This window comes from Homo sapiens, chromosome 1, assembly GCF_000001405.40.
Source record: "Homo sapiens chromosome 1, GRCh38.p14 Primary Assembly".
Taxonomy (NCBI): Eukaryota; Metazoa; Chordata; class Mammalia; order Primates; family Hominidae; genus Homo; species Homo sapiens.
Window position 1 is genome coordinate 117596832 of NC_000001.11, and position 24880 is coordinate 117621711.

A 24880-nucleotide genomic window follows, 5' to 3' on the forward strand; every position below is an offset into this window, starting at 1 on the left:
TTCTCATATCACCATTTTATTGTGTTGAGATGGGGAAGTTACTCTGTTCTAGGACCTGGCACATGCGTCGGCTTAAATGCCCATCACGCTGCTTGTGGGGCTGCCCTCCTAGGCTCCATTTTCCTTGACACTTGAGAAACATCGATCGTGGAGGCTGAAGTTTCTGTTGCTTCGTCACCGCACAGTAAAACAGGGAGGGAGAGTTTATTTGGAAAGAAAAACAAAATCGTTACAGGAAATGCCTATGTAGAAGGTCAAGTAGGGGGACTTTAAGTCAAAGAAGACATCATTTGGGAGGTCAGCTTCAGTGTTGATGATGTAAAATCAGGGTTGTCCTTAATTGGTCAGATTTGACAGTTTTTCTTGGGTCAACATCAAAGTCCCACTTTTTCCCTGATAGTATTTGAATTGGAAAATATATTTAATTATATCAGACACTCTTGGTTGCTAAGCATCAGAAAATATAATTGAGTTGGCTTAAACACTTATAAGGAGCTGAGCTGTGGGCTTCTGGAAGATGAGAGGCTGGGGGCAGTATGGTCTCCTGGCTTGGTTGTCCTTGAGTTTTTGGTTCTGCCCTTGCCAGTGTGTAGAATTCATCATACTCTGGCTTTTCTCAGGGCAGCAAAACAACACAGCCATTCCAGCATCCTGCCCAGACAAGATGAATGCTCTCTGCTTCTCTTTCTCCAACCACTGAGTGCAGGCATGAGATACCTGCTCATCCTTGAATGATCACAGGGCGATGGAATTACACTGATGGGCTTAGGCCAGTGAGGACCCAGCCCTGGGGCTGGCGGTGTCAATTCTACTCAAGCGGCTAACTGGATCCCCAATTAGGGAAGGAAACATGGATGCTGGGCACCAGCCTAGAGTGCCCATGACATACATTTTCCTATTTTTCTCTCTTAAGTAAGGAACACCAATTATTTTATACCCTACGTAGTATCCTACTCCAGCCTTTCCCTAGGGGTGTCTAAAATTCATTTGTTACAACTCCCAGTATCTACCACTAAAAAGCAAATTGCTATTATTTACTTCTTATTTCATAGACTGAAAAAACTAGGGCATATTACAAGCATGTTTGTAATTCTTGACAAATAATCAAAATTATACTCTTCTACTGAAAAATGCAAAACCATAAACTTCAGTCTCCATCACAAATGAGAGGATAAATATTACTGTTGTGGTCTTTAAAGAGGCAAACTAGATACTCTCAATTTCCTTGGAAGATTTCCAACCCTGACCTGATGTGGGCTTGGCCCAGGGGTCTTGGACAAGACTGGCAGGGCCATCCTGGCCACCAGCAAGCCCACGAGGCAGCCAGGGGAAGGGAAGCCCACAGCCCACTTGGAGTCACCCTCCCCAAAACCAAGAAAAAAGGGCCAGATGACTTCTCCATGTTCCTGCAGACTCTGTAGTTTTCTAATGTAGAAACTGCTTCGTATTCATCTATGATTTAGGCAAGGGAATTAGTGACAATCAGTTTGATCCCATAATCTAATAGGATCCTCCTGCTCTGAAACCCCACAGGAAAAGAGTGGTGCAATGGTTCTCAAACATTTTGGTCGTCAGACCCCTTTATACTCTTAACAATTACTGAGAATACAAAGAGTTTTTAAAATCTAAGTTACTTCCATTATTGTTTACTGTATTGGAAACTCATAAACACACATAAGAAGCGCACTGAGACTGTCTCCATTTGGCTATCCACACCCTCTCTAGACAACATTCTAACTCCGCGGGGTCTCTGGAGGCTGACTCCTGGTTGGGTTCTGCCAGTGGGAGGCACACACAGGCAGTCAGAGGGCAAGAAGAGTTCAGGTGTTCCTCCTCTGGCTCCCTCCCTGCTGGGAGCAGATTAAGGGTGACCACAATCTTCAACCTAAGGCGGCAGCTCCCCGGAGCTGCAGTGAGTCTCCCCAGTTCTGGTAACTTCTCTTCTCTCATCCCATCAGGCCTAGGTGGAAATGGTTCCCCACTGGTTGTCAGTCCTATGGGGCCACCCATGCCTTAAGGTTTCCGTTAACCTTGCCCCAACTAGCTCTCCTCAATCCCGTTTCAGTGTGTGCCCTTCGTTTCCTCGGAGACCCTGACTGAGACAGGAATAGAATGTGTGAGTCTGAGTGTGAGTGTGAGTGCACACACACACACACGTGTGGATGGATGAACACCAACATATTAACAGAACAGTTGCTGTGGGGTTAGTCATGATTTATCTCTTCCTTTTGCTTCTCTGCAATATCTGATTACATAAATAATCTGATAATATTTATGTAAAATTTTTTTAAGAAATAAAGCAAAAGTTCACAGATTTAAAGAACAGTTTCTATGAGGATCAGACTCAGGGGAGACTAGAAGCCCTCAGATCCAGTCCTTTGGGGACAGATCTGAGCCCAGATCTACTTTGGTGGAAAGAAACTAATGACACCAGACACTACCCCTGGCTCAGAGGCCATGAGGATTAGTGAGAGGAACATGTTGGCACCTTAGAATTCTTAATGTGATTAGAAAGGAAATAAGCAGCCCATTATCATTCCCTGACTTTGGGAAGGCCCTTTAACCTGGGTTGCCCTGAATCTTGCTGCAGCCTGACTGTGCTCTAACTACACCAGGTACAGAATAGACACAAGAGGGAGAGTCTATCACCAGCAGGAGGGTGGCTTAGCCTGGCAGTGTCCAAGCTTTAGCATGCATAGAATCGTCTGAGGATGCAGAGACGAGGGCTCTTCCCCCAGAGGTTCTGATTCAATAGGGCTGAGATGAGGCCCTGGAATCTGCATTTTAAAGCGACTGGTTCTCCTCCCTCCCCTCTCCTCCCACCACACACATCATGAGGAATAGAGGTGCTTGGGCTACAGAGTTTGGGGTGCAAGTCCTGTTTCTTTTGGCCCCTCATCGCTAAGACTCAGTGAGCAGAGGGAGTGGAGAAGGGAGAGAGGAGGAGGAGAACCAGGCTGCTGAGAGGGGCAGGCAGAGTAGGCCTAAACCAACCTGGTCATCACCCAGGAGGAAACCCACAAGCGGGACATTGAACCTCGCCTGGGTGATTAGTGCTCCGGAAACCATGGGGAACCACTGGAGGACTTTACTGATGCCGTGTTATTTTCCATTTCTTCTCTGATTACATTGATCCTGTACTTTTGCTGATGTTGTGACAGTCTAATTATAGACTTCTCGGCTGCTGAGCAAACAGTCGTCCCCTCTCGGTAAATCTGCCTGTTACACAAGCGCCAGCTCTGGGACACTGTCATTATGTGCAGCCAACCCCATGAAGCACCGTGGGCGGGACAGCCCCACACCCTTTAGCTCCTTGACGCTCACTGCTGGAGCCGGAGGCACTGCAGGCTAGCCAGGCTGGGTCTTTTTTTTTTTTTTTTTTTTAACAGATGGGGAAACTGAGGCCCACAGCAGTGAAGTGAACCATATCACACAGAGCCAGGGATGGATCCCGGGACCTGAGGGAGGGGTGGTTACCCAAGGCCTCTTTTTCTTTCCTTTCTTTTTTTTTTCTTTTTTTCCCCATCAGATATTCACTGAGTGCCTATTCTAGGAATTCTAAAGAAGAAAAGTGTCACCTGGCCAAAAGCAGAAAGTATTGGCAGGGCGAGGTCAGCTGGATGGTGTTCCTCCTAGAAGCTTCCCAAGAGTCCATTTTTCTGGCCCTCAGATGCAGAGGTTTCGGAATCCTGACTGCATCTGTGTCCCACAGCTAGCTGGATTAAATAATGCCGATTTGTTTAGGCAATGCTCACAAGAGACCGTGGCGGAAGGCTGGAAGGGAGATGTGCGTATTCTGGCCATCCAGCATCTGAACCTCCTTCCTCTGTTTGGAGTATCCTCTACCTTTAAGAGGCAAAGTCTACTTCCCAGAGTTAAAGCTCAAAATATCAGATGATCTGTTCACCAGCCTTCTTTGCAGCCAAGCCAGGGCTTGGCCATACCATCTGGTCTTTGCTGATTTGAGAGAATCCCACCCACTCTGGGTTCGAATCAGAAACCAGTGATGGGAAGAAGCAGGGACACAGGTTCACAGAGACTCTGACTATCTACAGGTGACAGTATGGTGGCAGAGACAATTACATCCAGTTTCCAGAGGCAGGAGTGGCAAGGCTGCCTATGTCCTTCATGGTGTTTTCCTGGGCCAGTTCCACAGTATGATTTTTCAACCTTGTTTCTGGTAGCAGAGCCAATTGGCCAAGTTCTCCAGCATTCTGCTAATTCTGTGGGCTCACCAATATCTTTGAAATAAATTCCATTTTGCTTAGATCAGCCAGAGTCATTTTTGAGTGCTTACAACTAAGAATCAAGACTGATATGAGGACTGGAAGACCAATGTCTGAACACTGAGAATGACACGTGTTAGGGGAGTTCGCCATCCCTGGCAGTCGGCCGTATTCTTCCTCTGGCAAGCTATGTGGGAATGACCAGAATCTCTTCCCCAACAGGAATGGACTCCAGTGCTGGGAGCTTCAGGCATTCTGGCAGGATGGTAGGAAAGACATCCTGGGCCTAAATATAAGGCAAGCTCAGAGTGGACCCAGTGGTTGGTCATGAGATATAATGAAATAATCCATTCACAATTTGCATTTTTATGAAATCCCTTTTCCCAGAAGGGAGATTTGAAAAAATGTTAATCCTTAGATAAGAAATCTGGGGCTCTAGAAGTGATGGTAGCCACAGCAAGGTATTCAGAATCTACCCTTTTCTGTTCTCATCTGACTTGCTTCCCAAGGTGTCCTGACAGTGAAATGAGAAAGGGGTACGAGGTTGGCAACGAGACACATCTTGTGAATGGGGTGACTGCTTTCATATGTATCATTACTTCATTTGATCAGCATACAACCCCATGAAGCAGGTAGGCTAATTGCTGTTAGCATTTCCATTTTTTGGATTAGGAAGCTCAGACTCAGAGATGTTAAGCCATTTGTCTAAGGTTTCACCTTGCCTGAAAAAAGGATTGCCTGCCATCTGACTCAAGCCTACATCCTTTCTCCAGGGACATACTGCTAGTGGGGTGGGCAGGAAAGGAGTTTAGAGACACCTAGATTGGAGGGATAAAGTCAGCACTGCTTATATTTGGCATCGTCTTTTCCCTGGCACTGCCACTGTCACCACCATCCCCCTTCTGGATCCCTACTTTACCCCTTCATGCTGCTCTGGTGGCAGTGCCTCTGCTGCCATGCTGTACTTGAGCCTGCTGCTACAGCCATGCCTGAAGATGCAGCCCCTTCCTCTCTTCCTGTCCCACCAAATATGACCAGCTCTAGGTTCCATTACTTCTGGACTTTGCTCCAAATAAAACTTACACCATTTTATTCCAAACCCAGGTCTCTTTCTGCAACACCCGAGAAAAATATTGGGCTGCAGGAGCCAGAGAGGAGAGAGAGATTTACTGGTGAGAGTTGTAGGTGGGAATTGAAAAGCCAAGTCATGTCTTTGCCCCACCAGAAACTCACTAGGATGTACACAATGCCACTGTGATGGTTTTAAAATATGTAACTAACCTGCACGTTGTGCACATGTACCCTAAAACTTCAAGTATATATAAAAAAAGAAAGAACTGCTGATACACATATCATGAAAAAAGACCAAATAAAATAAAAAAATAAAAAAAAATAAATAAAATAAAATATGTCCACAAATGCTTTGATGTTCCTTTGTTTCTTGATCTGTATGCTAGCAACACAGGTTCATTCCGTTTGTGAAAATTCATTGAGCTGTGCTCTTATGAGCTGTGTACTTCTCTACATGTATGTTAAATGTGGACAAGAACTTCACATAAAAATCATTTTAAGAAAAATAAAATATTTAGATGGGGGCATTTGAATAAACATTTGTAATGTTTTTATTACAAAAAACTCAAGACTTAAGAAATTGCTCAAAGAAACTGATAGATCAGGAGATAACTAGACACTATACAAAAGGTCTTTCTTGACTTACAGTAGGACTATGGTGGAATTTCTTTGTTTTTCTGAAGTATTAAAATCAGAATCTATTGAGACGTAAAACTCTTTCAGGATCATCACTACAAGTGAGGTACGCTTGCATTTTAAAGACTGTTTTGTCCCTCGGTTTCCCTAGGTATAAATCAGTGAATCCAGTGAATCATTCAGAATGCAAAGAAGGTCTTTAAACCATTCTGATTGGATGTGCTCAGCAGGGGCTGGAATTTGGCAAGAAGAAGGCACCAATAATCTAGGAAGAAGAGTTTGAATATCTGGTTCCGTGTCCAACGGGCAGAACTTGGCCACTTTCTAAGACTCCTGCCAGCTCCAGGATGCCAGTTTTATGAGGCAGAAAGAACACAGTGTATTTAAAAAAAAAAAAAAAAAAACAACCCTGAAACACAATTCTAGAAAAGTCCATTAATGCATCAGGAATACAAAGGGGCCCAAGAAAAAAATATATATATACATGTATATATATTTGAGAAACTCATATATAGTGAGTTTCTTTTCTGCTCTTAGCTCTCACCTCTCACCTACCATAGAATTGCCTAATTTTATTCAGGAAGTTGAATAAAATTTCACCCAGGAAAAGGTGGAACTAAACCATGCTGGGTCAAATTTTAGGTTAAGAATTTCTGTCCTGTGTTCTACCTTGAGACTAACTGTACTAATGGTTTCCAAGAGGCACTGAAAGAGTAGAAATGGTTGAAAGGCCAATGTAATAATTTGCATTAACTTTATTGTGGTTGGAAGTTTATGGAAGGATGGTTGAGTTACTTGCCCAAGGCCTTATTACAGATAGTGAAAGTTAAAACAATGAAGTTCTTAGAAGAAAACAAAGAATATTATTTTTATGGGCTTAGGATTATTTTAAACAGGACATACAAAACACTAGTCATAAGAGATAAGATTAATATTTTGAATGTCTTTAAAATTAAGTGCTTCTGTTCATCAAAAGATAACATTAGAATAATTAAAAGTCAACACAGATTGGGAAAAGATATTTGTTATACATATATTGGACAAAGGGCTCATATTCAGAATATGTAAAGAACTCTTATAGGTCATTAGGACAGACAACTCCCTACAAATGAGCGAAAGACTTGAACAGACACTTTATTAAAAGGGTATTGAAATGAACAATAAGCATCTGAAAAATTGCTCAACATCCTTGATCATCAAAAAATGCAATTTTAAATCACAATGAAATACATATCCCCCCCCTTTTTAAATTAAAAAGACTGAAAATACCAATACTGGCAAAGATGTGAAACAACCGGAAATCTCATATCACTGGTTGGAACCTAAATTGTTATACGAATTTAAAAACTGGCAGTGTATTTAAAGTTTAATATGTGAACACTCTATGAACCAGGAATCCAATCCTAGGTATATATATATATCCAACATAAATGAATGCTATGTCCACCAAAAGACATGTGTAAGAATGTCTGCAGCAGCTTCATCAAAGGCAGAAACATGAAGCAACTCAAATGTCCACCAACAGTAGGATGAGTACACAAATCGTTGAATATTTATATAATGAAGTAATACACAGTAGTGAAAAAGAATGGACCATTGTTACACACAACAATATGGATGAATCTCATAGACGCACTGTTGGGCAAGAGAAGCCAGACATAAAATTGTACGTGTTATGTATTTCATCCATAGCAAGTTCAAATATTGGTAAAACTAATCTATGGTGATAGAGGTTAAAATAGTGGTAATCCTTGTCGGATACTGAATGGGAAGGGGCATGAATGAGCTGGAAAGGTTCCACATCTTGATATGGATGGCAGTTACATGGGTATGCATATGTAAAAAATTATCATTCTGGACACTTTTGATTTGTGCGCTTTACTGAATGTTATACCTCAAAAACAAAAAGTAAAACAAAAAATCAGATCATATGTCTTGATTTCGCGTCTAACAATAGGATCACTGGCTTTCCCTATAAACACTCATATTGATGTCCTATCGCATTAAAGTTCCTGGATACTCACTCTCCTCTCCCTCGCTGGGAAAGACATATTTGAGAACTCTTCATAGTCTGACAGACAGGAGAACCACACTTATTTCAGGCAGGGTTGGAAGAGTAGGGCGGAGGAGATGTAAATACTGCATCTGGGAAGTAATCTTTTCCCCCAGCACCTAGTAAACGATCAATACAAGTACAATAATGTCTATTGATAAATAACATTGTCCAACATTGGCTACTATCTGATACATACAGCATTTGCCACACACTTTCTAACAGGCACTAGGCAATGCACTAATTGTTTCCCACGTATTTTCTTAATACTTATATAATTCTACAGAGCTGTCCCATTGTTAGTCTTGTCCTACAGATAGGAGACGCAGGTTGTTGGAGGGTTGGTTCAGTTACTTGCCTAAGGCCTTACAGAAAGTTTAAGTGGTGCATGGAGATCTCAACTCAGATTAGTCTGAATTCAGAACCTGGGCTGTAAACCACTCGCTATGTTATGAATGGATGGTGTCCAAGCCCTGCCTGCATGTTATATAACACACTGGACCAAGTGCTGTGGCATTCCGAATGGGGCCGAAGCGGCTGCGGCTGCCGACATTGGCGATGGACTCCCCGAGGCCCTTCGTCCCACTAACTGCACACAGGTGGTCCCCGGGGCCAGAGAGCCGCCGGCGCTCTCTCCCCGAAGACCACGCCTTCGCCTCCAGCCAGTTTGCTTGGGGAATCAGAAAGGTGCCCAGGGCCCAGAAACCATTAAGTTTTTTCCGACTTCAAAAACACACACCGGAGGTAGGCGTGGGCGTTACCCGCCTCACTCCTGGGGGCAGGGAGAACCAACGCGAAAATCCCCAGAGAGGCGGAAGAAAAACCTGCCTGCGAGAGAATAGGATGGAGATGGGAAAAGCCTGGGGAAGAGAGAGTTATGCGGCAGGAATAGCAGAAAAGCGTACTAAGCAAAAAGAAAGGTGTCCCACTAACTCCGAAGTTAAGTGGGTGTCGACGCAGCCCCCTCTATTGCGCTTGCGCAGTGCTGCCTCCCTGAGCACCCCGCCCCTTCCCGCCGCTGAGGATTTACTCGTCTCTTGGCAACCATTCACCCGAAGAGCCAATCAGAGGGCAGCCCTCGCCCCGCCCCTGCCGTCAGGGCCGGGCGGAAGGGTCCCGAGGGGACTGGCTCCGCCACGCCCCGCCCCTGGCTCCCCCGGGAGGGCGGCTCAGGGGCGGGGACGGGGGCGTGGTCCCGCCGTATAAGAACGGAGGGGGCGGCGGCGGGACGGCTCACTCGGTGCCGCTGCCTAGGGGCTGTAGAGGTCGCGCCGCTCCTGCTGGGGCCTGCCCACGCCAAGGACCTGCCTCTGTCGCCTCCTCTTCTATTGCCCAGGTGAGTCCGCGACCCCCCTCCTCTAAAGGTGCGGCGATGCGGCAGCAGCCCCAGGGAGCCGCGAGCTCACTTAGTGGGGGTCCGCCCCCACTAAGTGGTGCTCAGGTCTTTGCCCAGCCTGGTAGGGGGCAGGCGGACCCGAGGGGAGCTGCGGACAGGTGCCGAGACCCGGTGCTCCTTTCCCCTCCTGCTCCCTCGAGGACCCCCGCCCCTGACACACCCGTCCCAAAGGGCCAGAAGAGACGCTCCGAAAGGGAGCTACAACTTTCCAGAGACCTGGGGCTTGGCAAACTCCAGCGAGTTCCTGCTCCGCGCGTCCTGCAGGCTGCGCGCTGGCCAGGCGCGGGCAGGGCGTCTGAAGAGTGTGTGATCGGCGCCTCCGCTCCTACCTGGATCAGACGGCGCCCCCCGCCACCCATGCCTCCCTTCCTGGCTTGCAGTCCCTCGGGCTCGCCCCGGCGCTCCCGCGGGCGCGCACACCTTCGCCGGCCCGCCGAGTGTGAATTCGAATTCGGCGGTTTCACTAGGCGCAGCTGGAGACGCAGCGGTCCGGGGCTTGGATCTGGTTGGGGAGGGGAGGGGCGCTTCCTAGGCTCATTGCCAAGTCCTGAGTTTTAAGGAGAAGGGCGGAGATCCTTAAATTTAATGCGCTCACATCAGACTGTGGACACCATGAGCAGCAAAGGGATCCAAGCCAGTGACTTGTGCGCTGCGCGTCTCTCAGAAACTTCTTGGGAATGCGGTGTCTGTGAAACCTGCTTCCTCTCCTTTTGAAAATGAAACTTGCTTTACTGCGTAGGTGAAAAGCCACGGCAAGTGGGTCGACTCGGACGGATACCGGTGCGGCTGCCCCGGGAGGTGTCGCAGTTCGGGGACTCCCTTCGCACTGGTCGCGAGGCAGGAGGGAGCAGGGTGGGAGGCGAGTCAGAGGAGGGTGACTTACCTGAAGAATACAGGTTGGTAGCCTGCACACCTGAACTCAACGCTGGCGGGCGAGAAAACCAAGCAGCGCTACCTCCAAGTAAGGGCGCTCCCCTGGAGAAATGAATGCCTGGCGAGCTTCTGGAGAACCCACTATTAGGGCTGGACCCTGCGGGAGGGATAGTGTCAGCTCCCTTCCCCTTCGCCCTTTTTTGTCCATAGGTAGGCTTTTGTAGGGCTCTAACCAGTTCCCTGGCTTAATTAAGTAGGGGCCTGCTTCCTTTTTAACATTTTTGCTTTCTTACGGAGATATAAAGTGCATACAAATGAAGTGCTTAAAATGCACTTATAGTAAGAAAGCTTTTATAAATACTATGTGCATAATTATTTGTATTGTGACAACTTGGTCTTCAGGTTACTTTGTAGGTGGGTTAGGAGACTGAACCAGCCCAGGAAATAAAGTTAGGGTGATTAGATCCTCCCAAAGTACACTTCTGGCTGGCTCAGCTGCCCTCTGCGTGCAGGAAAGAGGGTGACCGTTGTTGGCGACAGCAACCTTTCAACGTGAGTAAATTGGCAAGGAAATGAGCCCAGGAAGTAAGTTGGGCAGCCGCAAGAGTGGTAGGAGAGCTTACCCAGAATTTTACTGTCTTAAATCCCCAAGGGTATTATTGAGGGTGTGAGACCAGCCACGTTAGGCCCTGCAGTGGAAAAGGGGGAGGGGGATGGGGAGTAAAGAATGCTGACTTTTCTCTGGGCTTTTAGGGAAACCTCTGAGCTGGGCTGCAGGGGTTCTGTCCTTTGACATTCTTGTTTGTGAAGATGGAAAATGATCTCTGGAGTCAAGCTTAGTTTATTTCAGATAATGAACTTTTTCTCTTAAGGTATACCCATAGCTTTAGAGTACATATATTCTCAATAAAGAGTTTTTAGGAAGATTTTGGTATATTGTATATAATTGTTCAGGTAGCTATGCGGGGGTAGGGGGCTCCCATAACAAAGTTTAAAAAAAAAAAAAAACTCTGCCAGGAGGCCTCTAAATTGTTACCAAAACAAAGATCCCTAATTTCATAAGCAGCTTCAGTGAGCACATAGAATTAACAGCCATATTTCTTACGCTGTTTTTTCCACAATACCTACCTTGTATCCAGGGATTAAATTCATGTAATTCTGAAGGAAAGGATTTGGCTCTTAGCCTGCTTGTCAGAGTGAGCATGACTTAGTTGTGCACCTGTGGCTATCTCTACCTGGTTTCTTCTCTTGTACCGTGAGCACAAGTAGCCACTGAAATCTCCCGAGTTCCAGAGGCCCGTCCCCCCTCAGCTGTATCTCCCCATAGTGCACACATTCAGCCCACATTCCCCCGTGTTCAAGGCCAGGGCAGATCATGCACATCTTGCGCTGCCGGTCAGAGAACAGAATTCCTCATATTTCTGAAAGTCCAAGGAACAGTGCAGCAGTAAAAATAACTTAAAAGTGGGCTGTAGTGCTCTTGTTTTCACAGTACCATTAACCAGACACATTTGATAGAAAATTTAAAAACTTCATTTAAAAAACTTTTTTTGTTGTTTTTACTGCTCAAGTACATAGGACCTTGTCTTCATCTTTTGTCTCTGATCAATGTTGTGTTCATGGAGTTACCTACTAAAGAAATGGAAACCCAAAGGCTCTCAGTGGATGAGTTGAACCTTTTTTTTTTTTTTTTGCATTACTGAGAGAAGTCGTGGAAGCCCAAAACTAGTTTCATGAGTTAAGCTAAACTTATGTTTTGGGGTTTCTTGGTTTCACACCTGTCTCTGGGTGTATCTGCTATTTTGTGTGCATGTGTGTGTGTTTAGGAGTTAAGGAGTAATGTGGAATGTGAGGTTACTTGGAATAAAACATTACTTGGGTTAGATAAGGTCTGTTGCTTTTTGTGTTGTCATTGAGGTAAACAAGGCACTGTAGGAAAATGCTTCCTGCCATCTTGGTGTTTTGACTATAGTACATTAAAATGGCATAAATTGTATTACAATGAAGCAGACACCTCTGTGTTTAAAGAAATGTTCATGTGTTTAAAGCTGCTTGGGTACATTAGTACTGCTGATTTCTTGTGATGTTTTCAGGCCATAAGATCTCTCAAAACGTTTTTACGCTTTCATTGCAGGCCGCATAAAGAGGCTTGCATTTGGAATTCAAATAGTTTAGAGGAAGCATCTTTATATAGTTCAACTAGGTAAGGAAGCCTTAAGAATTGTTCAGAATTAATAGATTTTGTACAGCTGGCCCCCACAGTCTGTTCTAGAACTGTTTGAAAACTTCTTGGAACAACAGAAAAAAAATATGAAAAAATAATTGCTGATGTTAAGCAACTCTCTCCCTGTAGGATGTTTTTTAGTGTCGGAGCTTGAGACTAAAGTCTTGGAGTCTTGGTCACAAAACTGCATGGAGTGTTGTTTATTTCTTGGAGAACCGTGATTGAGTCAGTAAGTAGTTAAGTGCTTCCTAGGCAGTAGCTAGTGCCAGGTGCTGAGGACGCCAAGGCAGTGGTGTTTGGAAATGCCTTTGGAAGAGCTCTGGATGCGAGAGGAGCTGGGCTGGCTTTATCATGCAGTCGAGGCACTCCGATTTCTCTCATTAGTCTCAGCCACTGGCATATGAGCGCCGGAAAGCGGAATCTGTGCTCACTGCTGACTCCCCAGTGCCTGCTTATAGAGCTGGCCTGGCACACAGAAGGTGTTCTGTCATTTGGATACATGTTCGGTTGGCGGCTTGCAAAGAGGGAGGCGTACTTGAAGTGGGAGTTCTCTTGGTGGACCGAGGCAGGCAGGCCAATGGCTGAGTCCTCTTTTAAGTAGAGGCCACAGGGGTATAGGTTTGGAGCTGAGGGGCAGTGACTAGCTAATTGACCAACAGCTGAAACTCCTCAAGCTGAGCTCCAGACCCACTCCCTTAAGCACTTGCCATCCTTCCCACCCTCCCTGACACCAGCCTCACATGGCTCACTCAGCCTTTTCTCTCTCTCTGTTCACTCAGTTGCTAGTTCTGCTGATTCTTTCTCTTTTTTATTGTTTCCCACTGTCATCACTGACCTGGTTTAGGGGCCCGTAGACAGGAACTTGATGAGGGCAGTAAGTGAGTCCGCCTCCCCTGCCTCTGGCTAGTTCTACAGTCTGTGCATTTGGAACTCCATCCAAGCGCACAGGGACTGCCTGCACCTCTGGAAGCTGAACCTCCTCTTCAAGACCGTGCCTTTCTGACTCTTTACTCTTGACCCACCCTCCACCCCCCATGGCAGAGTCTCCCTAACTGCCCTTCTTTGCCTCACAGAACAGATACTCATATCTGCACAAAGGAATGATACTCCTTTCTCACCAAACTTTGAATCCAGCTTCAGGCCCTTCCCACAGGCTTCTGACTGACATTATTCCATCTGGGGACCCGCTCTTTTCACACCTCGATTCATTAATACTTTGTTGTTGTTTGTTCTTTTGAGACGGAGTCTTACTCTGTCGCCAGGCTGGAGTGCAGTAGCACGATCTCTGCTCACTGCAACCTCCACCTCGTGGGTTCAAGCGATCCTCCTACCTCAGCCTCCTGAATAGCTGGGACTACAGGTGCACACCACCACACCCAGCTAATTTTTTGTATTTTTAGTAGAGATGGGGTTTCACCATGTTGGCCATGATGGTCTTGGTCTCTTGACCTCGTGATCTGCCTGCCTCAGCCTCTCAAAATGCTGGGATTACAGGTGTGAGCCACCATGCCCGGCCAATACTTTCTTACAGTTCTTCCTTCTACCTTCTTTTCTAGTTCTTAAATTTTTATCTTTGATTGAATAAGCACAAAGTCCCATACTGTTACCATACTTAGCCTCCTATAAAAACATTTTGAGAAGAAAATTATCCATGAAACTGCAACTGCCCACACCCTCTTCCGTTGCCGTAAGCATCTCTCAACTTGTTTAGCCCTTATGAAGATAGAAGAGGTAACCCTCCACCTTTCCTGGCTGCTTGCCCCTGATCCCCAAACACACTCTGTCCATCGTTGCCCTCTGCTCGTCGTAGTTAGAGATGGGCATTAGGATCTCCACAGCTAGCCAGTGCTATATGGACTTGGGCAGTTTCAATCGTCATTCCTGTGGAATAACTGCAGCACAGCAGTAGCAGAAAGAGGACTGATCCAGAAGCAGAGATGACGCGTACACTCATCAAGTGCCTGATATGTGTCTAGAGGCTTGCTCACAGCTGCTCAGCTAGAGCTAGCACCGCTGCTATCTCCTGTGCCCAGGCTGTTTGTCATCTTTTTACCTCCTCTGCTTCTGAGGCTGACTTTAGCTGTGGGGAGACCTGGGCTCTGGTCCTGGCAGAGCCTTTACCTCTTCAGCCTTCAGCTTCTTCATTATAATAAGGACAATAAATTAGATCAGTGCTTTCCAGTAAAAATATGAGAGACACGATTAACTTCCTAGTAGTCCCATTAAAGAGTAGAAGTAGGTGAAATTTGGCCAGGGGCAGTGACTCACAGCTGTAACCTCAGGACTTTGGGAGGCTGAGGCAGGAGGATCCCTTGAGTCCAGGAGTTCCAGACCAGCCTGTATGACACAGCAAGACCCCATCTATATAAAAACAATTTTTTAAAAAATTAGCTGGGTGTGGTGGCACGTGCCTGTGGTACCAGCTACTCAGGAGGCTGAGGCAGGAGAATTGCTTGAGCCCAGGAAGTCAAGGCTGCAGTGAGCTGCCATCGAACCACGGCACTGCAGCCTTGGCAATAGGGTGAGACCCTGTATCAAAAAAAAGTGAAATTCATTTTAATAAGTGTATTTAATCTACCATATCAAATTTCATCATTTCAGTATGTAATCAATATAAAAAATCTAAATGAGATAGTTTACATTCCTTTTATCATACTGAGACCTTGATATCCAGTATGTGTTTTAGCATTTACAGCGGTACCTACTGTATTGGGCAGCACAAGTCTAGACCATCAGCAAAAATGTTTCACTCTCAAGTTCTGATTCTGCATGTGTGGGAGGCAAGATTTAACAACCCAAAGTTATGGAAGGAGAGTAGGAAGCAGGATATCAGCTCCACAGGGCCAGGGATCTTTGTCTCTTTCTTCCCAGTGCATCACAAGCTCCTGGAGCAGTGCTTGAAACATAGTAGGCATGCACATTTTTGAAAGAGTGAAAGGAAAGTCAGTTATGGCCAACTTACTGACAGTCATTCACACTGTGCGTCAGACTTGACACTAAAACACATGGTGTTGGATTCCTAGCCCGGTGCTCATTCTTTTTTTTTTTTTTTATAGTTTCTTAGAGAATAATCATAAGGCAATAGAATTTCAAGGAACTGCTGATAAAATCTTCTGAGACTGGCAGGGGACCAGGACTCAGTTTATCAACAATTAAGTTTTATCAACAATTAAAATTTGAGTGAAATTGCAAGAGGAAGTAACATTCAAGTCAAGTCAAAGTGTTTGAGCTGTCTGGTGACAGCACATTAATTACTTGATGAACGCTAAACATGAGCTGCTGCTATGCGCAGTACCTGGAGGCCCGGAACCTGCAACTTGAATGCCAACTCCTAAGGGAAGGATCCATGCAAAACAAAAACCTGGATGGAACTATGCACGTAATTAGCATCTGCTCTGAAATGGAGGTCAGCTCACACTTAGACACTTGTGAATGGGGTGTGTTTATGGTCTAACGTATGATAAGGGTGGCATTTGAGGAACTAAGAGTTGCTTGTCCCTTTCCTGATAAGGCCTGGGCAGGGAAGCTGCTAGTGATTAGACAGGACTTTTAGCTGACTGAGGTCTTCCTTTTGGACAACTGTTTAAAGCTGTAGGCTGGAGAGTTAGATGGTAAAGTAGCCTGTGGAAGCAGCCTTTGATGAAACCCGGAGGCTGTCAGCTCTTAAACCCTGTGGATTACGTGTAAGCTGAGTCATTCTTACAGTAAGCAGTCTCCTCCTTAGGAATCATCTCATTTTTCTCAGTCTGGGCAATCTCTAAAACAGAAAGGCAGGCTCTCTTTGGGGAGCTCTTTAAATGAATTCAGACCAGTAACACCTCTGATCTAGAAAGAAGCAGTTGATGGTGGGAAGGTGGTTACCAAGTAGCAACAAGGATTATTTCCATTTCAAGTTGTGTGTGTAGCACTTAATGCTGACACCTTGGAAAAAAATCAAGGCTTTTATGCCCTGCTTCCATCTGAAGATGTCTGTGTCCTGACCTTGTTAATATTTCCATTTGCAACCACGTCAGAGTATACCTTTCAACACTTGAACTTGTGTGGCATCCCTGCTGTAATATCTAGGCCAGTGTTTTGATTCTGTTTGCTGTTTTGCGGCCACAGCATTAGTTCTTCCAGCGTTATCTCTCCACCCACACTTGCCCAAGCATCCTATTTTCAAAGGTGGGAAAGAGCTTTCTGTTTGGAGTTGTCGTTGGTGGGTGTCTATGGATGGAGCCCAGTGATAACCATTCAGACTGTGTGTTGGCTTCTCACTTCTTAGTGGGAAGTGAGAATTCATGGAGGCCCCTTAAACAGCGGAGATCACAGCCTGGTTCTGTGGCCTGCCTGGGTTTCAGTCCAGGGCTGCTTTCCACAGCTCATGTGGGAATCTAACCACATTTTTTGACTCTAGTAAACATCATTGGTAAATGGCTGGAGGATGATAATAACCTTAAGAAAATAGAATGAGACGCTGGCTGAATGCAATGGAGCTGAGAGTGAGAAAAGACCAACTGTGGGGTTTGTTGCGTCACTGACTTAGAAATGTTTTCTCTGGGCACAGCTTTGTGGCCTGGGGCAGTTACTTCTTTGAACTCAGGTAGAATGTGTTGCGGGCATTTAAGTGGGCAACTGTAAAAATAACATCTTGGAAAAATAGTGAGCATAGGATATATTTTATTGGCCTTTTAAAAAGTAAAGCATTATTTTATCTGTTTTTATTGCTTCAGGCCATTCATAATCTAAGCTGCTATTCCATGTACATGAAACACTCGAGTGTCTGTTATCTGTAACTTTCATGTGTTTGGGGCTGTGGAGGAGTCTCCAGAATGTGGCCCCCTCCCTATGTGGGGGGTCTGGCCCTAGGGAGGAGCTGGCAGACAAAAGCCTTCCTTAGACTGCCTCCAAACCCTTCCTAGATAACTTCTGGCCTTCATCCCCCAAGGAATTCAAGGAGTAAGAGAGGAGGATTTTTTTCAGAAGGCCATATCCATGTTGACCCTGGTTTTTCTCGTTTCTGCCCGGTTATCTGCTGCTGCACATGCCAAGCAAAATGACCAAGGTCCATGGTCATTCGAAGCGCCTGGCTCTTTTCTTATGGGTGAAAGAATCTCAAGGGTCAAACTACATGCAGGTGGGGGAAGTGACGGTGTCCAGTCTCAGGTTCAGCATTCATGAGGTCCTGTGTACGTTCCAGACTTTCTGCTTTCAGTTTTGTTCCAGCTCTCCTTCCTGGGCTGGCCCTTTAAGTCCTGGTCACTGCCTGCAAATTTATCAGCCATTTCTCTGTAGCTCCAGTTGGGTTATTGGCTTCTTTGATCTGAGAAGGTTGCCGTCTCGACTGTAGCTAGTGTCCTGTTCTGTTGCTTCATCAGCCTATCAACACTCTGATCTCCCAGCCATCAGAGGAGTCTCAGTAATTGTTCCTTTATTCCATGAGCAAAGCAGCATGCCTTAGTTTTCTGGATCAGGATCAGCCCATTCCTGATAATCTCCCTCCTGTGCCATTAATTTTTCCTCTTATTACTAGTTCAGCAAGGCGACTGTGCAGCACCTTCCACTCTTGGGTTCTCTCTCTCTTCTGGACTTGGTTTCTCTAAAATCACCACTGTTCTGCAACGTAGCAAGCATCTTGGAGCTCCCTGGGAAGTTAGGATCCTAGGCCTTCATCTCCCAGCCATTGTTCCTTTAAAACAAACAGTAGCATAACGATTAGCATTTCTACACTTAATCACATTCAGTTCTGGTGGCTCCAGCCTGCAGTTTCTATGCTGACAGTTGTTAGATACTTCAGTTCTAAATGCTTCTCCCTTGCTTTCAGAATTTGCCATCTGGCCTTACCTCACTCAGGTGGCCTTAGCGGTCTAGCCAAACTTCTTTCCTACCATCTTATTTTTTAAAAATCTTTATACCTTCCTTCCTTTTCTTTCTACTTACTGTCATCTCCTTCCTCTGACCATCTAAGCACAACCAGCTCTTCTTCAAGCTCCCTGCCCCACCAAAGCTATCCACCTTTTAGGAAGACTCTTAAATTCCATTTCTGCTACTCACCAGCAGTGCATCCTTGGACAGTTTACAATTTGCACATCCTCTTTGTTCTCCAGTTTTCCCATCTGTAAGTGGGGGAGTAGGAGGAATGGTATCTCTTTTATGGGTTGTTATAGAAATCAAATGATTGATCCAGGTAGAGCCCTGAAAGCACTGTTTTACTGCCTATTTGTGATGTTGTAAAAGAGTTGGTGGCTCATTAGGGTACCTGGCTAAACATCTAGTCACATGTGGTGTCCCCTGGCCATGGCTGTGGCTGCCGCCATGTGAAGAGCCCTTGGAGGGCTCTGCATGTATTAGCACCTGCCAGAGAAAAGGATGTGGGCAGAAGCAGACGTTTATGTTATGAAACAATGTGCTCCCCCGCTGATAAGTGGGATTTCCCACACACTATGGCAATATATTGTCTTCCTTGGTGTCTCTGTGGCAGGGGGCACCTCTAAGCCACCTGGCATCTTTTGCTTAACTGGAATCTGCACAAAAGCAGAGAGTAAAGGCTGATTCCAGCTTTTTGCTATCTTTGGTGTGTATGGTGGGGACGGGGCAATGGAAAGACTAGGTCTCACGGTTACATAGTGAACAGAAGGTTGCTGTGTCCTTTTTTGTTAGGACCAATAACGTCTGTTTTAGAAAAGATCACTTTAATGGCTATGAGAACTGGTGATCCCAGTGCACATGTGGGTTGTGACATGTGCTTGTCACTCCGTGTCCACCTCCCATCCACCATGGCAGACCTTGAGCTTGGTGGAAGGGAGTCAGCAGTTCCCAGACACTAGTCTCGCAGTTGAGGACCTGGGGTCAATTCGCTTAATCTTTTCTGAACCTTATTACTTAATTTGTGAAAAAGGGATAGTTGTAGATTCCTTAGAGTTCCTATGAGGATTAGATGGGAATTGAAGTGAAGTGGCTCATACTAAGTACTATTTCATTTGCTTTGACACACACCTCTACACCCTTCATTTCACAAGCAAAGAAGAGATGGACTTGGAGTCGTGGTTGTCATTCACTCTTGTTAAGGGAAGAAGTGGGATAGGATAGTATGAAGTGTATTGCCACCACTTTTATTTCTGCTTATGTTCTCTAGGTTTTCATATGTAATGGAATGGTCTCTTTTTGTCTAAAGTGTCCTCTTGTACACGGGGGAGGAGTTTGTGTGGAAGATGTGTGGGAAGAGCCACAGGTGCACGGGTCCCCTGTTGGCCAGGAGCCAGGGCCCACAGGTGTCTTTGTTCCAGGTACACACTTCTCTTGGAGTCTGTCACCAGGCTTGGCGCATTGCCCAAGATTCCAGCTCTTACCTTGGGTTAGAAAGTTTTACTGGGAAGAACCACACATTTGAGGTAACATCCAGAAATAGTGAAAGAGAATTTGTCCCCAAAGGAAGGCTGAAATGTGTTTGATTTTCTTTTGTATTCATAAACCCTCAGGAGGGTCAGAAGAAGGTAACACTTAGTTGCCTCTGGACTGCTGAAAGCCCTCAATAGCTGAGAGCCTCAGTTCAAGCCTCAGCATTTTCCTGAAATTTTCTAGACAATCACTTCCATAGCTTTCATGTTAAAGGTCACAGACCTAGACTTAGATATATGCAGTCCTTAACTTGATAGATGTATGTCTCCACACATACTAAGAACCTTGTGGACGGTTTCTGTGTCTAATGCCAGGCACAAAATAAGAATTAATGTTGCTTTGACCGAATTGACTGTGTGCAAATGTTATAAATGCTCACAGTTACCTCCCCTCCAGCTCATGCACCTGCCTCTCCCGCTCGCCCACCTTGGGTTCCTCACACTTTCATCGTGTTTCTGGAGTTCACTGGCTAGTCCAGAGATCTAGATAAGCTATGAAGCAGGACTAGAAATAGCTTTTTTTTTTTTCTTTTCAGTGCTCAAACATAGGTTTTCAGACCAATCTGCGTTGAGCAGCTCTGTCCTGGGCAGTGGGAAATGATTAGATCAGACATCAAACTTTTTCTCAGGGACCTTGGTTTAACCTTCTGGCCTAGTTTGTTTTTTCCTTTCTTTTGCTGCTATCTCTGCAAACCTCTTTTTTTTTTTTTCCCTTCAGTGTGTGTATTCTACCTTTACTGCAGTCAGATAATAGAAGAAAAGGGAGTACGAAAGTACCTGAGATAGTTGGTCATCTTGAATTGTCAAAAACAAACCCTGAATTCTCAAATCTGCAGGAACAAATTATGGTTTCCACCTTTCCCCATTTCTACTGTATAAATATAATGAATCTGTTTCTCAAACAGTAAAAGGGAAATGAAACACTTTAATTTGAATTTACTAGGCTTCAAATTAATTTGTTCTCTATTTTGTTAATTCTGCTAACTAGAATTTGCCTTTAACCAGGGCCTTTCATGAATTGGGAATGTGTGTTCCACGTGATTCTTTTATATGGGGATTATATCAGTGTTGATTTAACGTGGTTAATTAAAACTAAAAACTGTTGGACTAAGCACTGATGTGTTACCTAAACACTGAGGGCCTATGACTTGGATGTATTCTAGTAATACCAATGTTTGTCTAAGTAACTTTAAAATGTACTTTTGGTATTTGAAATTGTTTGGACGAGTGAGGGACAATGAAGAATCCCTTTCTAATAGGCACAAGTGACTTATTTTATGCTCTTCCAATGAGCTAAGCACTTAGTATGAACTCAGCTTAAATTTGTGTCTTCAGTGGCTTAAACTCCTCTCTATGTAAATCATGGTAAATTGAGAAAGTGAAAAACTACGCCATGGACTTGGCATTTGTCATGTCCCACACTGTGCTTTTATACAGACTTTTTCCCCTAGAATTTAACTCCAATATTCATATATGTATGAGAAGAAGTTGTCATGGAAGATGCTAACCACAGGCATATTGTATTTCTGAAAAAAGTGTTTGTTAAAGTTTTTGCAGCTGTAGCCAGCAACCAACTTAACAGTATCACAAGGGTAGCTACATGTTTGAAATGAGAAATAGCAATTCTGTGAAACTGAAAAAAAAAATTTCTTTTGGTTAACATAGAATGAGATGAGAGGAGATGGATTTGCATGAATTAGAGAGTCTGAGGTTTTTTTTTAATGAGCATCTTTTTAAAAAGTATATGAGTAGAAACTTGATAGAAAGGCATTCTAAAGGAAAAGAGTCTCTCTTCCTCTGTTCATCCCCTTATCTGTAGAGATCAGCATTTACATCTTGGAGGTGAAGCTTCCAAGTGTACTTAATTTTGTCACATGGATGTGGGAATGCAGAATGTGGAATGTAGAGAGGAGGGGTGGGAAGGAAAAAGGGGATTGAAGAAGTTAAATAAGGCAGCAGGTGAATAGAAGGCTCCTAAGGGAGAAGCTTTAGGATCATAAGGTTTTAATTTTTCTTCAACTAATACATATATAGATTCCAAATTCAAAGGGCACAAAATAAGTTTTCTTCTTCTAACTTTGAATCTACTTCCCCTAAACTAGAGGAAGTATTTGGTACAGACTAAAACTACTACCTGCATATGTTTCCAGAGACTTTATATGCTTGTGTAAGCACAGACTTTAACAGTTTTGCTGTTAGCAGTTTTGCTATTAACTTGTTTTTCTATTAATGAGTCTTGATAAGCATTTCACAGTCATACAGAAAGAACAGCTGTCTTGAATTGTCATCTCGAATTGTTGAAAACAAACCCTGAATGCTCAAATCTGTAGGAACAACTGCATGCGTTTCTGTATTGTTTTATACACACATCAGATCATTTAACCATCTTCTATTGGTGAATACTTATAGCTTTATAAATAATTCTCCAATGAATATTTTGTGTATACTTGCAAATATACTAAGGATATAATTCAAAGTAGACTTACCAGAAGTAGAATCCCTATGTCAAAGAGTATATCTCCTTAAAATTAAGTGTCTTGTGTCCGGAGAGAGCCCACAAGCAGTATACTAGAGGGTGTCTGATTCCCACATATCAGACTTAGTGATCTTTGCCCATTTGATGGATAAAAATGATACGTTGAGGTTTTAATCTGCCCCTCTCTTAAGTAAGGTTGTGACTGTAATAGGTGTTTGAGATGTAGTTTGTGTCCTTTGTGTCTTCTCTGTTGGGGTTCTTCTGGTATTTCTGATTTGTTGAAGCTCCTTATTCATTATGGAAATGAGTACTTTGCCTAATGTTACAAATATTTTTCCTACTTTTGCCTTCTGACTTTATGGTGTTTTTGAATTATATAGTCAAATATAGCAATTTTTGAGGCTTTTAGATTTTATGTGACTTATTTAAAAAAAAACTACCCACTCTGTATAAGTATATATAAATGCATTTCCACCTCAGTACTCTTAGAGTTTCATGCTTTTACATTCAGTCTTTGATCTGTCCAATCTAGATCTTAGTTTGGCATGAAATAGGGAGTCCTTCATTTTTTTCTTTTTGATAATTTAGATAACCATCCAGATGTTTTTCTTCACTTTACTATTCTGAAATGCCTCCTTTAATTATATACTAAATCCCTTTACATATCTGATTTTGTTTCTAGATTTAAAAAATTTTGTTCCATTGATTTGTCTTTTTGGGCCAATAACATGCTGTTTCAATTATTGTGGTTTTGTGATATCTGTTACAGGCTAGTGCATATCATTCCTATTTTTCACAATGTTTTCTGGCTGTTTCTGCCTCTCCTACCATATGAACCTTACAAATTCTGTCTAAAACAAATTCTAACTTTGAGTCTACTAGAAGTTCACATACTTTAAAATATATGAAAACTCTCAACCCTGTGTACTTCCCCCCACCAAAAAAAAGGCTCATAGCTTCCAGGCTATCACTAGTCTCAGATGTCCCTCCTCTAATGTTCAGAACCACCATTGTAGCGTAGGCATTGTCCTGACTTTAATCCTACATGACGTCTTTTTGAACAACTCCTTTAAAAAAGACTTGAGTCAGAATACATTCCTACAGTTATTCTCCTCTGTAACATTATTGAGGTTCTTGCTGGAGATTTTAAAAAAATTGTTGCTTGTATCTCAAGTACTGCTTGCATTACAGCCTCTGGTTTCCGTGTGACTTCTCATGCCTGTGTCATAAAGATGAGCTTTGAAAGCACAACAGGTGATTCACACTAGCAAGTGAGTTGTATTTCTTCAGGTAGACCAACATACCTGAAATCTATAAAACCCATGCCACCAAACCATAGTCTAGCTCTGGTCACAGTAAAGCCAGCCCCGTAACTTTCTGTAATTATTAGAACTTAATTGTGTAGCTCAGGGTTCCCCACCCCCCTGACCACGGGCCAATACCAGTCCGTGGCCTGTTAGGAACTGGGCCGCACAGCAGGAGATGAGTGGCAGGTGAGCGAGCATTACCACCGGAGCTCTGCCTCCTGTCAGATCAGCAGCATATTAGATGCTCCTAGGAGTATGAACCCTAGTGTGAGCTGAGCATGTGAGGGATCTAGGTTGTGCCCTTCTTATGAGACTCTAATGCCTGATGATCTGAGGGTGAAACAGGAACAGGTTCATGCTGCAACTATCATTCCCCTCTTCCAGGTCCATGGAAAAATTGTCTTCCACAAAACTGGTTCCTGATACCAAAAAGGTTGGGGACCACTGGTGTGGCACATACAGTGGACACAAATGTACTGTGTGCTAATCATGGGAGACCACAAAGAACTGCTAAGTGTTTAAAGGGCATGGCAAAAAGAGAACTCTACTATCCCAAATCTGCCTTGAAACCAAATGCCAGTCACAGTAAACATTATTCGTCACAGATTTTGCTTGGGATCCATAACCTAGGAGTGCTTTGTAGGATGATCTAGATAGCCTAGGACTTTTTAACGCTGTTCAGAGGCACTTTTGTCTTCCCCTCCACGAGTACTCTGTAGCGAGCAATAGAGCGCTCATCCCCAGATTGGTCCTGCAGAGCCTGCTGTGATCACATACTCAGCCCGCTGCTTTCTGCCTCTCGGCCCCAACCAACAGCTCATGTTGTCTTTCTGTTGGCTTGTGTCCCCTCTCCATAAGTGAACTCCGTGACCTTCCTGTTCACCCCAACCAGGGACACCCTTTCTTCTACTTTTATATTACATTTTATTTCCACCACTGGAGTTGTCTACACAACACACTGCCTTGTATTGATAGCTCATATTTTCACCTTCTTCTTGATGGGAGAGCCTGAAGAGCTCATCTCCATGTACCCAGCAATGCCCTGACAACCAAGTAACAACCATAGGAGATCCCTGGCACCGGTGCAAGGCCAGAAATCCATGTTGGAACCCCAGGAGAATGCATGCCGATGTGTATTCAAACACAGCAGCTTCCAAACAATGAAACTGCAGAAGTCATTGGGATGGGTTTTATGTGGGTCTAGCAAGTCAGAAAGGCGGAGGGGGTGGGAAAACTGTTTAC

At 44.3% G+C, this 24880-nt stretch overlaps 1 protein-coding gene and 1 long non-coding RNA gene across 2 annotated transcripts in view, besides 4 other annotated features; one reads left to right on the forward strand and one right to left on the reverse strand.

Moving 5' to 3' along the window:
* On the reverse strand, window positions 1–8939 carry TENT5C-DT (TENT5C divergent transcript). Its single transcript, NR_121626.1, has 3 exons — window positions 8815–8939; window positions 7958–8105; window positions 1–163 (listed from the first exon to the last, which is right to left on the reverse strand). It is a non-coding gene; the product is annotated as a TENT5C divergent transcript (long non-coding RNA).
* Window positions 8031–8531: an enhancer, noted in NCBI's record as "H3K4me1 hESC enhancer chr1:118147484-118147984 (GRCh37/hg19 assembly coordinates)". NCBI's record gives its function as "activates a minimal SCP1, AML or CMV promoter by ChIP-STARR-seq in primed H9 embryonic stem cells {active_cell/tissue: H9 hESC(primed)}" and the evidence as "EXISTENCE:reporter gene assay evidence [ECO:0000049][PMID:30033119]".
* Window positions 8532–9032: an enhancer, noted in NCBI's record as "H3K4me1 hESC enhancer chr1:118147985-118148485 (GRCh37/hg19 assembly coordinates)". NCBI's record gives its function as "activates a minimal SCP1, AML or CMV promoter by ChIP-STARR-seq in primed H9 embryonic stem cells {active_cell/tissue: H9 hESC(primed)}" and the evidence as "EXISTENCE:reporter gene assay evidence [ECO:0000049][PMID:30033119]".
* Window positions 8532–9282: a biological region, named in NCBI's record as "H3K4me1 hESC enhancer GRCh37_chr1:118147985-118148485".
* Window positions 8943–9282: a silencer, noted in NCBI's record as "silent region_1242". NCBI's record gives its function as "represses an Ori minimal core promoter by ATAC-STARR-seq in GM12878 lymphoblastoid cells {active_cell/tissue: GM12878}" and the evidence as "EXISTENCE:reporter gene assay evidence [ECO:0000049][PMID:35858748]".
* The window catches only part of TENT5C (terminal nucleotidyltransferase 5C), a 22342-nt gene continuing 6678 nt past the window's right edge, over window positions 9217–24880 (forward strand). Inside the window, exon 1 of the mRNA NM_017709.4 lies at window positions 9217–9322. The gene's annotated coding sequence lies outside the window, so the exon portion shown is untranslated. The remainder of the gene's footprint in view (window positions 9323–24880) is intronic.